Source organism: Homo sapiens, chromosome 6 (assembly GCF_000001405.40).
Source record: "Homo sapiens chromosome 6, GRCh38.p14 Primary Assembly".
NCBI classification, from domain to species: Eukaryota; Metazoa; Chordata; class Mammalia; order Primates; family Hominidae; genus Homo; species Homo sapiens.
Window position 1 is genome coordinate 121,421,293 of NC_000006.12, and position 13,345 is coordinate 121,434,637.

Below are 13,345 nucleotides of genomic sequence, written 5' to 3' on the forward strand. Positions count from 1 at the left end.
AATAAATAGATTTTTTAAAAAATCATTTTGCCGGGCGCGGTGGCTCACGCCTGTAATCCCAGCACTTTGGGAGGCCGAGGCAGGTGGATCATGAGGTCAGGAGATCGAGACCATCCTGGCTAACATTGTGAAACCCTGTCTCTACTAAAAATACAAAAAAATTAGCCGAGCATGGTGGCAGGCACCTGTAGTCCCAGCTACTCAGGAGGCTGAGGCAGGCGAATGGCATGAATCCGGGAGGCGGAGGTTGCAGTGAGCCAAGATTGCGCCATTGCACTCCAGCCTGGGCGACAGAGCAAGACTCCATCTCAAAAAAAAAAAAAATCATTTTACAAAATGCATAATCTATTCTGATAAAAGCCAGCAAATTAGAAGTAAAAAAAAATTTCTTCGATCTGATAAAGAACATCAACAAAAGATCTATAGCTAACATCATACTCAGTGATGAAAGAATGCCTTTTACCTAAAATCAGGAAGAAGAGAAGAATGTCTGCTTTCATCACTTACATTAAACATTGTATTGGGCATTCTTTTTTTTTTTTTTTTTGAGACAGAGTCTCACTCTGTCACCCAGGCTGGAGTACAGTGGTGTGATCTCGGCTTACTGCAACCTCCATCTCCCAGGTTCAAGCGATTCTCCTGCCTCAGCCTCCCAAGTAGCTGGGACTACAGGCGTCCCCCCAACACAACTGGCTAATTTTTGTATTTTTAGTATAGACGGGGTTTCACCATATTGGCCAGGCTTGTCTCGAACTCCTAACCTTGTGATCCGCCCACCTCAGCCTCCCAAAGTGCTGGGATTACAGACGTGAGCCATCACACCTGGCCTGTATTGGTCATTCTAATCAGTACAACAAGGCAAGTAAAAGAAATAAAAGGCATAGAGTTGGAAAAAAATAAGTAAAACTTTTTTTTTTAACATTTTTCACTTTCAATACCATAAACCTTGAAAAACTATTTGTCAAAAATATGATCATGTATCTAGAAAAATCCTAAAGAATCTACATAATAGTTACTAATAATGAATTTTATGAGATCATAGAAGACCAAAATAAAATAATTAACTCTATAATTAAATACTAGTAATGAATAACATAAAACTTTAAAAACTGTTTTTTATAAGATATCAAAAGAAAAGCAATAACATTTAGATTTAACAAAAGATCTGTAGATGGAAAACTATCAAATATTAAAGAAAACCTAAATAAATTAACAAATACATCATATTCATGAATTGAAAGACCAGTAAAGATGTAGATTCTCCCTAAATCTATGTCATCCTAATCAAAACCCCAACAGATATTTAATAATAGTGTGTGTGTGAAAACTGAGAAATTGATTTTTAAAACATATGAAATATGTGGTCACACAAAATTAGTACAATCTAGAAGAACAACAACAACAAAACTGGAAGACTTATGCTACTATATTTCAAGGCTTCTTATATGGTCAAAAGGGATATGAGGGAAAAAAGACTTATTATGAAGGTATAGTAATTAGAAAAGCATGTTACTGGCAATAGTAGATGAACTGACCAATGGAACAGAGTAGGTGGTTCAGAAACAGACCCACATACACTGTCACCTAATTTTTGACAAAGATGACACTGCAGTACAATGGGAACAGAAAGGTCTTTTTAATAAATTATGCTGGATGAACTGAATTTTCATATTGAGAAGCAGGTAACTTGACCTCTACTTTATACCATACACAAAATCAATTTTATAAGTAAAATTACAGATCTAAATCTAAGAGAGAAAACAAAAACTTTTAGAGGAAAACGTAGGAAAAAAGTCTTGATTTTTGATTAGGCAAAGATTTATTTAAAAGATCATAAAAAAAGAGCTATAAAGAAAAAAACGCTGATAAACTAGATTATATTAAACGTACATACTTCCATTTATCACAAGAAACAAGAGACTAGAAAAGCAAGCCAGAGGAAGAAAAGTTATTTGCTACACACATAACTGACAAAGGACTCATAGCCAGAATTAAAAAGAACTCTTGGCTGGGCACGGTGACTCACAACTGTAATCCCAGCACTTTGGGAGGCTGCGACGGGTGGATCGCCTAAGGTCAAGAGTTCGAGACCAGCCTGGCTAACATGATGAAACCCCATCTCTACTAAAAATACAAAAATTAGCTGGGTGTGGTAGCAGGTGCCTGTTATCCCAGCTACTCAGGAGGCTGAGGCAGGAGAATCGCTTGAACCCGGGAGGCAGACGTTGCAGTGAACTTAGATTGTGCCCTTACACTCCAGCCTGGGCAACAGAGTGAGACTCCGTCTCAAAAAAAAAAGAACTCTTACAAATTAATTTTTTTTAAAAAGATAGACAACTCAAAAGACCTGTTCTAGAATGTTCAGAGGATTATTATTCATAATACCCCCAAACTAGAAATTACCCAAAAGCCTATTACCAGAAGAAAAGATAAATAAGTCATAGTCTATTCACATAATAAATCATCTAGGACTGTCTGCAACAATACAGATGAAAATGAAAGAAGTCGGGCCGGGCAAGGTGGCTCATGCCTGTAATCCCAGCACTTTGGGAGGCCAAGGCAGGTGAATCACGAGGTTAGGAGTTCAAGACCAGCCTGGCCAACATGGTGAAACCCCGTCTCTACTAAAAATACAAAAAATTAGCCAGGTGTGGTGGTGGGCGCCTGTAACCCCAGCTACTCAGGAGGCTGAGGCAGGAGAATTGCTTGAACCTGAGAGGCAGAGGTTGCAGTGAGCCGAGATCGCACCATTGCACTCCAGCGCAGGCGACAGTGCGAGACTTTGTGTCAAAAAAAAAAAAAAAAGAAAAAAAAAAAAAGAAAAAAGAAAAAGAAGTCAGACACACACAAAAAAGTATATTTTTTAAGACTTCATTTAATTAAAGAGGGGAAAACTAGAATAGTAATACATTTATCCTTATGGGGGAAGTAATGGAAAGGAGAGGGCTCATAGAGGACTACAGGGATGTTCATGTCATGTTCTATTTCTTGATATGTCAGCTGATTAAATAGGTGTATTCAATTTGCAAAAACCCTTCAAACTACACACTTAGAAGATGTTCCTTCTTCTGTAGGTACATTACACTTCAGAAAATTAGAATAAAAGAAAAGAGGGAGAGGGAATTTTTCAAAGCAAAAGTGAGTAGCAAGTCAGTGGCCAAAGAAGAACTCCAGCTTCTTGCTTGGAGTCTGGCTTTTTCCCTCCCAGAGACCAGGGGACAGGGTGAGGCAGGAGGGAAAGGCCATTATCAGAAAGGCCATTTGGACTGGGCCACCTGTTCAAGAAATGTCTCAAATGTTAAATTTTGATATCATTTCCAAATAAAATTATACATATAGTTAGGAGATAAACTGACAATTTGAAAAGAAGAATACATTCCTCCAAAAACTTTAAAATAAGGCACTTGACAGTGAACTATTAGGTAATTTTTAATTTTTACAATACCTCCTATTTTCATATAAGTAGTAAAATAATATAGCTGCATGGGTGTATTAGTCTGTTTTCACACTGCTATAACGAACTGCCCAAGACTGGGTAATTTACAAAGGAAATAGGTTTAATTGATTCACAGTTCAACAAGGCTGGGGAAGCCTCAGGAAACTTACAATCATGGCAGAAGGCGAAGGGGAAGCAAGGCACCTTCATCATAAGGCAGCATGAAGGAGAAGCACCAAGCGAAGGAGGAAGAGCCCCATGCAAAACCATCAGATCTTGTGAGAACTCACTCACTATTACGAGAATAGCATGGGGGAAACCACCCCCATCATTCAATTACCTCCACCTGGTCTCTCCTTGATACGTGGGGATTACAGGGATTATGGGGATCGCAATTCAAGATGGGTGGGGACACAAAGCCTAACCATATCAGTGGGTTTTTAAAATTAAAATTGTTTACTAGTTAAGTATTAAAGTACTCCATAAATTTTTAAATCTGGTTTTGGCATATCTTTATTTTTAAGTATATTGGAATACCTCCTGCCCACAGGCCCCACTCCCCTGGCTCAATAGAACTGACTCTGACTTCACCTCTGAGAGGCCAAGTTTATCAGGATTGCCTGTGCACAAAATCACCGAAATACTAAAATAAATAATAGGCTTTCCATAACCATTTCTTACATCTGAATCCAAAATTGCAGTTTTCATTGCCTAATTAAGGTCTAAAATGAAGATTGATTTTATGTCCTATCTGGTTTAGTGGTCAATTAACTAAAACGTCTGTTAAAACTGGCTACATTTTAGAATTAGTCTAAAACACAATATGCTGCCTTTCTATGGATGGGTGTAATCAAAAGGTCTGCTTCGCAACTCTACAGTCTTTTCCCCAGTGGGTAAACTGTTTCATAAAAGGCTAAGCTACTGAAAGCCAAGAATCACATCTCAGAGCTGCTCTTATGACCTCTATTAGAAATTTCTAAAATATTCTATCATCTATGGTAATCATAACTTGCTTTCTTTCACTTTCTTTAATATTTTAAATTTCAATATTTAAAATCCACTGTACTTCAAGAATGAACATAAAAGAACTACTAAAATTACTGCAGGGAAATCAGTTACTGGAATGAATCCCACTCAATATCACACAAATCCGTAAGAGATTAAAAAGTCACCTGAACTTTCCAAACATATCAAGTCTACTATTTTGATTGGGAATTTTATAAAATGGGAAATATTGAATACCAACTGTCTCTGCTGTTTGCAACGTGTGTTAGAAGTTTAGTGAGAACAGGCCGGGCGCGGTGGCCCACTCCTCTAATCCCAGCACTTTGGGAGGCCAAGGTGGGTGGATCACGAGGCCAGGAGTGCGAGACCATCCTGGCTAACACGGTGAAACCCCGTCTCTACTAAAAATACAAAAAATTAGCTGGGCATGATGGCATGCGCCTATAGTCTCAGCTACTCAGGAGGCTGAGGCAGGAGAATTGCTTGAACCTGGGAGGCAGAGGTTGCAGTGAGCCGAGATGGCGCCACTGCACTCCAGCTTGGGTGACAGAGTGAGACTCTGTCTCATTAAAAAAAAAAAAAAGAAAAAAAGTTTAGTGAGAACAACCTGCCTACAAGTATCTCACCATTCAGGGCCAGGAAAATGGCAGGGTTTGGGGAGAGGAGGGGTCAAGTGTGAAACATAAAGGAAAACATTTTGAATATGAATAAATCTGAACACTATACTATGTTGGAGTCAAGTTATTTCTGAAGTATTAAGATTGAATACATATTAACTTTAAAAGCATTTAAACATCCTTTTTTTTTTTTAATATTTAATAGTAGAAGTGGGGCCTCACTATGCTGCCCAGGCTGGTCTCTAACTTCTGGCCTCAAATGATCCTCCCACCACAGCCTCCCAAAGTGCTGGGATTACAGGCATGAGCCACCACACCCAGTTCAAAAAACATTCATTCTTTTTTAGGAATACATACATAACTTCTTCAGATTAGGGTCATCCAAGTGTAAAATTGTTAAGTTATTCCTACATGTTATTCAATGTTTCCAATTCTGGTATCTCATTTCAGCTCACAGCTTTTACTTTAACCACTTATCATCAAGAACCAAAGAGCTAATAATCCACTTTCTAGTGTACTGAATTGCACTTGTATAAACAGTGTCGAGTTTCTCTGTTATCTCTGTAATTTACTTTAAAATACTTCCGCAAAGATGTAGTACTATAAATGTGTGTGTTGGTTACTTTAAGCTACATGTAGGGTAGCTGAATACTTTAATCAATAATTCGTGGCCTAGGGGTGAATAGCAAATATTTATGAGAAAGGTTGCCTCAGAGAAGGTTACAAGTGCTTCTGTATCCATGTTTCTGAAACACCTCAGACATCTTATTAACTGAATGTAAAACCTGGATTTTCACTGGTGAACTTAGTGTTGTGTTAATAACCATAATGAAGTTTTTAAAAAGAAAGCGTGGCAACAGGATGGAACCTGAGGTCATTAAGTTAAGTGAAATAAGCCAGGCACAGGAAGACAAATGTTACATATTCTCACTCACATGTTGCAGCCAAAAAAAAAAAAAAATGGATTTCATGAGATACCCATGCAGAATATCTCATTCTCCCCTTATGCAGGTTGTCTCTTTACTGTTACCAGAGGCTTGGGAGGAAAAGAGGGAGGTGGGGAGATAGTTTGCAAATATTTTCTCCTCTTATGCAGGTTGTCTCTTTACTGTTACCAGAGGCTTGGGAGGGAAAGAGGGAGATGGGGAGATAAAGAGAAGTTGGTTAGTGGGTATAAAATACAGTTAGGTTAGGCCGGGCGCGGTGGCTCACGCCTGTAATCCCAGCACTTTGGGAGGCCGAGGAGGGTGGATCACAAGGTCAGGAGTTTGAGACCATCCTGGCTAACACGGTGAAACCCCGTCTCTACTAAAAATACAAAAAAATTAGCCGGGCGTGGTGGCAGGTGCCTGTAATCCCAACTACTTGGGAGGCTGAGGCAGGAGAATGGCGTGAACCCGGGAGCTGACATCATGCCACTGCACTCCAGCCTGGGCGACAGAGTGAGACTCCGTCTCAAAAAAAAAAAAAAAAAATACAGTTAGATTAGACTTGGAAGTTCTGTGGAGAAAAATAAATAAATAAATAAAAATAAAAATACAGTTAGAATGAATAAGTTATTTGGTAGTACAGTAGGGAAATCACAGTTAATAGAAATTTATGGTATATTTCAAAACAGTGAGAAGAATTGTAATGTTCCCAACACAAAAAAAAGATAAATATTTGAGGTGATGGATATCCCAGTTACCCTGATTTGATCATTACACATTGTATACATGTAACAAAACATCAAATGTACCTCCAAAATATGTACAACTAAGGTATATGAATTTTTTTTTAATAATTCCTTTGGGGAAAAAAAAGAACTTTTTATGTAAGATGGTAGTCTCCTCATCTAAAATGAACACAGTCAGGATTTCATAGAGAATTCAAAATAAGTTGTATAAAATGGTTAAATGCCTGCTTGCTAATAATTGCTTATTAAATAAGCAACTGGGCCGGGCGCAGTGGCTCATGCCTATAATCCCAGCACTTTGGGAGGCCAAAGCAGGGCGGATCACAAGGTCAGGAGTTTGAGACCAGCCTGGCCAATGTGGTGAAACCCCATCTCTACTAAAAATACAAAAATTAGCCGGGCGTAGTGGCGGGCGCCTGTAGTCCCAGCTACTTGGGAAGCTGAGGCAGGAGAATTCTTGAACCCGGGAGACAGAGGTTGCAGTGAGCTGAGATCGAGCCACTGGACTCCAGCCTGGGACACAGAGTAGAACTCCGTCTCAAAAAATAAATAAATAAATAAGCAACTGTGTTAATCTATTTCATGTGTCAACTTGACTGACCGCAGGGTGCCCAAATTAAACATTATTTCTGGGTGTACCTGAGAAGGTGTTTCTGGATGAGATTAGCACTAGAATCTTCCAAACACGTCAAGCCTACTACATTTGGATTTCACTTTTAAATCAGTAACCATCTGACACTAAAGTACTACTCATTGCCAGTTATTAATAACAAACAAACAAAAGGCTCTCTTAGAGATCTAACAGGGTTCCTAAATGTTGCCATTCTTAGAGCTATGAGGGCTGAAATGTTTCTAATACACATAGAACTTATAATTGCCATGATGCATGATTTCTTAGAGATAATTGTGTTGTTTACACTATCTATCCTAAATGAAAACGGTATTAAATTTGTTAGTGTCTATAAAGGACATGTACTATATAAAGTTGTCCATAGGTACCTCATCCTGTGCACCAAAGCAGACTTAGACATACAACAGAAAGGCATTTTAACGACTTTGGTAAGTGGTGCTATAACCAAGCATTGTAAATATTTCATTTGGGAATTTTTATCTCAGCTGACTTTTGAAGCAATGCTAAGTTTTTTTCTTTTTCTTTGGCATCAGTTCAACAAGTATGTAAATAATTTGTTCGTGCATTTGTTATTTTTAACTACACATTTGTTCATATTCTGGATAAAGCCTGCATAAAAAATGTGCACATAAGGAATCACCTCCACTTGCAAAATGTTCTCTATATTTTTCAAGTTTCCACTTCGTGTAGTATAATGCTAAACATAAAATGATGGCAAGTGGTCATCTTGAGGAGGTTAGTACTTGGCTAAGTGATTTTTAGATAATAAATAATATTCATTCTATCTGCCCTAAAATAAACATATTGAAATATTTCTTTATTTGCTACATGATCTTCAAAAGATTTAAATTCTTAGCATAAGGCCGGGTGCGGTGGTTCACGCCTGTAATCCCTAGCACTTTGGGAGGGCGAGGCAGGCGAATCACATGAGGTCAGAAGTTGGAGACTAGCTTGGCCAACATAGTGAAACCCTGGTCTCCACTAAAAATACAAAAATTAGCTGGGCGTGGTGGGACACGCCTGTAATCCTAGCTACTGGGGAGGCTGAGGCAGGAGAATCGCTTAAACCCGGGAGGCGGAGCTTGCAGTGAGCCGAGATCATGCCATTGCACTCCAGCCTGGAGAACAAGAGCGAAACTCCATCTCAAAAAAAAATTATTAGCATAAAGAGCCAAGATTTAGTTTTAGACTGTCATTCAGTACAAATGACCTGTTAGTTCTCTTCCTATAAAAAAACTAATATACATGGAAAATCAAGAGTTGCAGATTCCAAACCTCTAGACTTTCTTCTGATCATTTTTTAAAGTGAATATACTATTGATAGGATTCTTTTTTTTTTTTTTTTTTTTTTGAGAGGGAGTCTCACTCTGTGGCCCAGGCTGGAGGGCAGCAGCACAATCTTGGCTCACTGCAACCTCTGCCTCCCGGGTTCAAGCGATTCTCCTGCCTCAGCCTCCTGAGTAGCTGGGATTACAGGCATGCACCACCATGCCTAGCTCATTTTTAATTTTTAGTAGAGACTAGGTTTCACTATGTTGTCCAGGCTGGTCTCGAACTCCTGACCTCAAGTGATCCGCCCACCTCGGCCTCCCAAAGTGCTGGGATTACAGGCGTGAGCCACCGCGCCCGACCTGCATGTTTCTTTTTTAAAGAATCGAACTAGTATTTCTCTGTTTTCCTACCATTGTTTGCTTGCTTTTTCAAAATTCCCTTAAAGAAAACTCAAAGGCTAAAGTTGAATGAAGTTCAACTCTGATATTGGCTTTGTTATTAACTGCATAACTAAAAAATAATAATGTCTACCATAGTCCCTGAGGCATAATAAATATTTACTGAATGAATGAATTCACAAGTGATCATAAAAAATTAACCAAGCTTCATTGAAAAGGTAAAATTAAACAAATAAACATGAAATAGTAAATGATTTACCAGTTTCTCTTTGCAATGTTCATTTTCACTCTGCACAGAAGGTGGAGCCAAAGACATATTTATCCACTGGCTGGAATTCTTTCCCACTCAACAAAGCAAAACAAATTCTTCCCTTTACAAATACCTTTTTGTGTAGTTTGGTTTACATAAGATTCGCTTGGAGGTAAATGTGGGCTACAAAAATGAGTTGAAATTTTACACAGCTCAAATCAATCTTTGATCCTTAAACATTTTTCAAGGATGATAGAATGCTAAGTAAATGGGAAAGACGTTCTCAGTTAAGTTGAATACTTCAGGGTTATGAAGCGAATTGACGGACCCCAGAAACTTATCTTTTGAAAAAGGGATACCAGCACAAGTGGTAATACGATGAGAAATCTTCACTGCTCTGAAAGATGTAATTGACCAACAGTCACATAAAGAACACATTTTCTGGCAAGTTTTACCAATTTGGGTAGAGCACTTCTAAACTTGCAAACTTATGACTTCCAAATTAACTTTTACTTCTTTCTTGCTGTCTGGTAAACGTTAGTTAAAATGGAAATTTGGTGCATAGAAAGGATTATTCTGATGCGAAGGAAAGGAAATCTGTAAGATAATGCCATCTTATCTCATTACAAAATCAACCTACACCCGCCTAGTCTCAGATAGTCTTTCTATTCTTCTACAAATGCCTTGAATTGCCCCAGAGGGATTGCAAATTTTCTGATTCTTCTTCACTTACTTTCATCTCAGCCAGCTGATAACCTTAGCTACTTTGAGAAAATACCTTCAAACCCTAGTTTCATGCGGCCTATACTGTCTGAAAACATTTTCTTTATGTTGCACTCATTCTCTTTTTAACGGAGTAGCTGTCCTTTCAAAGTTAACTACTCCTCCAGTGCACAAGTAATATTTTCCCACAAATAAGCCCACTTGTAGCTATTTTAAATACCTTTCCCTTTCCCAGATGTTACCTTGCCTCTTTTTTCATTCTTTTTGTCTGCATTAAATGAGGAAATCCACCAAGGCTGTGTGTGTGCTTTTTGGTACACTGCCTATATCCCATCTCTTAGTAATTTCATCTGTACCTGTGGCTTCTAATTACAAATCTTTTTTTTTTCTTTCTTTTTTTTTTCAGATCCTCTCACCTCAGCCTCCTGAGTAGTTGGGACTACAGAGGCCTGCCACTATGTCTAAATAACCTTTTTATTTGTTGTAGACACAGGGTCTCCCTATGTTGCCCAGGGTGGTCTTGAACTCTTGGGTTCAAGTTGTCATCCCACCTCAGCCTCCCAAGTGCTGGGATTACAGAGTTGAACCACTGTGTCTTCCCAATCACAAATCTTATAACAATTTTTTTTTTTTTTGAGACTGAGTCTCACTCTGTTGCCCAGTTGTAGTGCATTGGTGTTATCTTGGCTCACTGCAACCTCCACCTTTCAGGTTCAGGCAACTCTCGTGCCTCAGCCTCCCGGGAGGCTGGGACTACAGGTGTGTGCCACCACGCCCAGCTAATTTTTGTATTTTTAGTAGAGACGGGATTTCTCCATGTTGGTCAGGCTGGTCTCGAACACCTGACCTCAGGTGATCTGCCCGCCTTGGCCACCCAAAGTGCTGGGATTACAAGCATGAGCCACTGTGCCCCGCTGTAACAATTTTAAAGTGAACGCCACAGCTCCTGTTTTAAATTGTCAGTCATCGGTCTTTACCTAGATATTTCAGTTCTTCATACCAAAATATTTCAAACAAATCTTTGTATCTCTTTCAGCAGGTCAGTCCCTCCCCGAGCTTCCTTTTTTTGTGTTAGTAACATTTTCCCAATCAAAACTCCAAAAATCGGTTTCCACAGCCTCCTCTTCCTTGTCTTCCCATTCATCCATCATCAAGTTCTGGTAATTCTACCTTCCTTTCCTTTCTTTCTGCTAGTATTGCCTTTCAAGTTCCTATAGCTTACTGCTCTCCCATTACAATACTCTTCTTACAAGTCTAATCCGGAGCCACCAATTATTTAACGTTTATGCTACTCAATGAGGTGAAAGTAATCCATCAGAGTTTATGTGGGATAGGCATTTAAAGGCCTTAAAAATCACTCCATTCATTTCTTAAAATTTCAGAAATTCCTATTTTGAAACAAAGGTAAAAATCCAAAAAAGGAGGTGGTTCTCATATTAAGAAATATTTCTCACAATTCTGAAAAAAACTTACCCTCCATTGTGCCAACAATGTGCATTTTGCAAAATATATATAGCTACATGGAGAAAACAGAATCAAAGGCCTGGCAGGTCATTTGGCCTAAAGAAGCCCTGCAGAAGACAGAAACTGTAAATAACTGTTTCTAGTTCTCCAAAGAGCAGTGTTAATCAGGCTGCATCCATTTCTTCTACATAGACAAGGTCTGGCAATCAGAGAAGACACAGTTCTAGGAAGTCAGTGTTTATATTAAAGAAATGGCATTGACATTTCTGAGAATATGAGAAAAACACATTTAAAAAAAAAAAACTATTCCACAATTTTTGCAAAACATTCCAATGGAGACAAGCTTCTAAGGTCAGATAAGTGAGATACTTTTGAACAATTTTGCTATTGATAAAAATATAACTCACCAACACTGCTAGAGTATGAGTTATAATAGAAGTTGCTACCTGTCATTTAGAGACCCTGTTAGTTGTCCATGAGAGAAAACTGTGGGGCCTTTTGCAAAACCTAGTTTGTCTTGCACATGATTACTCATAGCATTGCATTTCAGTGCCATTATCCCAAAAGAAGAGAAGCTTCTTCAGAATGTCTTATCAATGATATTTTCATGAAATCATGTTGAGATCTTGTATCAATGATCATGGAAAAATGATTTTAGAAAGAAAAGACATAGTACGTTCATGTATTAAGAGAAGTAACTAATTACTGGCTCATGCTATGAGTAATTCCTTTGGCTCAGAAAATAGTTCAAGTGATATCCATGAATAATTTAACTTGTTATAAGGAAGTTCTTTAGCTCTATTTCCAATTGGTCACATAGGTAATAGATTAAAAAGAAAAGAATACTTTACAAGAATATTTAAACATCAACATTCATCTATAGACCTAACAAAACATAACAGAAATAAACACAATTTTTTTTGCTTTAAAAATCCTATTATAAAACAGTCAATGACAACTTTTCTTTCATGTAACTTATTCTGAATTAGCATCATGGTAATGTTTTTTATAATTGTAGTTGATAAATAATTTTACAAAAATAAATTGTTATGTAAATTAAATGAAGCATACTTTTTTGAAAAGAAGACATGTATTTTCTTACGATAAAAAGAATAAATCATTTTCATGAATATGTTCTAAGTCCAATGAAATAATTTTTAGTTAAGACAAAACAATAGATTTATTTAAAGAACAATATAAATACAAGACCAAAACAACATTTATAGGTTGCTGAACCTGAAGACTCGAAAGTCAGGTTACAATTTCTACTTCCAGAAGATTGTTTTTCCCCTTTCTTAATTTAAAGAAAAATGTACTCTTGGAAATAGGATAGCCAACAAGTAAAAGCAAAATTGTTCCTTAAAATTGCAACATTTGGGCCCAGCGCGGCGGCTCACGCCTGTGATCCCAGCACTTTGGGAGGCGGAGGCCTGTAATCCCAGCCACCCAGGAGGCTGAGGCAGGAGAATCACTTGAAGCCGGAAGGCGGAGGTTGCGGTGAGCAGAGATGGCGCCACTGCACTCTAGTTTGGGCAACAAGAGCGAAACTCCGTCTCAGAAAAGAAAAAAAAAAACCTGCAACATTTCAAAAGATGTTATATTAGTCATTTCAGTGAAAGTTTAATTAGGGAACGGTGTCTACCAGAATATATTTGGCATCCTTCTTTTTTCTGGTATTTGCCTGAGTGAGAAAAGTGTTAGGAATAGGAAGGCCAGATGAGTTTGCTTTCCCTCCAGAGAATACTGGCCAAGAAATTTCCTGTCCAACCTCAGGAGCATCACTGAAGCCTGTTTATGAGGAATTGTCCTACCACAACACTGTGTTATGGCATTTGGGAAGCCCTCAGAGGAGCTGCCTGCTCTAAGATTGAGGC

At 38.3% G+C, this 13,345-nt stretch overlaps 2 annotated features.

Moving 5' to 3' along the window:
• Positions 7,667–7,836: an enhancer, noted in NCBI's record as "experimental_89339 CRE fragment used in MPRA reporter constructs". NCBI's record gives its function as "activates a minimal promoter by MPRAs in K562 erythroleukemia cells, with activity observed for the non-introgressed 6:121750190 variant allele {active_cell/tissue: K562}" and the evidence as "EXISTENCE:reporter gene assay evidence [ECO:0000049][PMID:34662402]".
• Positions 9,342–10,324: an enhancer, noted in NCBI's record as "OCT4-NANOG-H3K27ac-H3K4me1 hESC enhancer chr6:121751780-121752762 (GRCh37/hg19 assembly coordinates)". NCBI's record gives its function as "activates a minimal SCP1, AML or CMV promoter by ChIP-STARR-seq in primed H9 embryonic stem cells {active_cell/tissue: H9 hESC(primed)}" and the evidence as "EXISTENCE:reporter gene assay evidence [ECO:0000049][PMID:30033119]".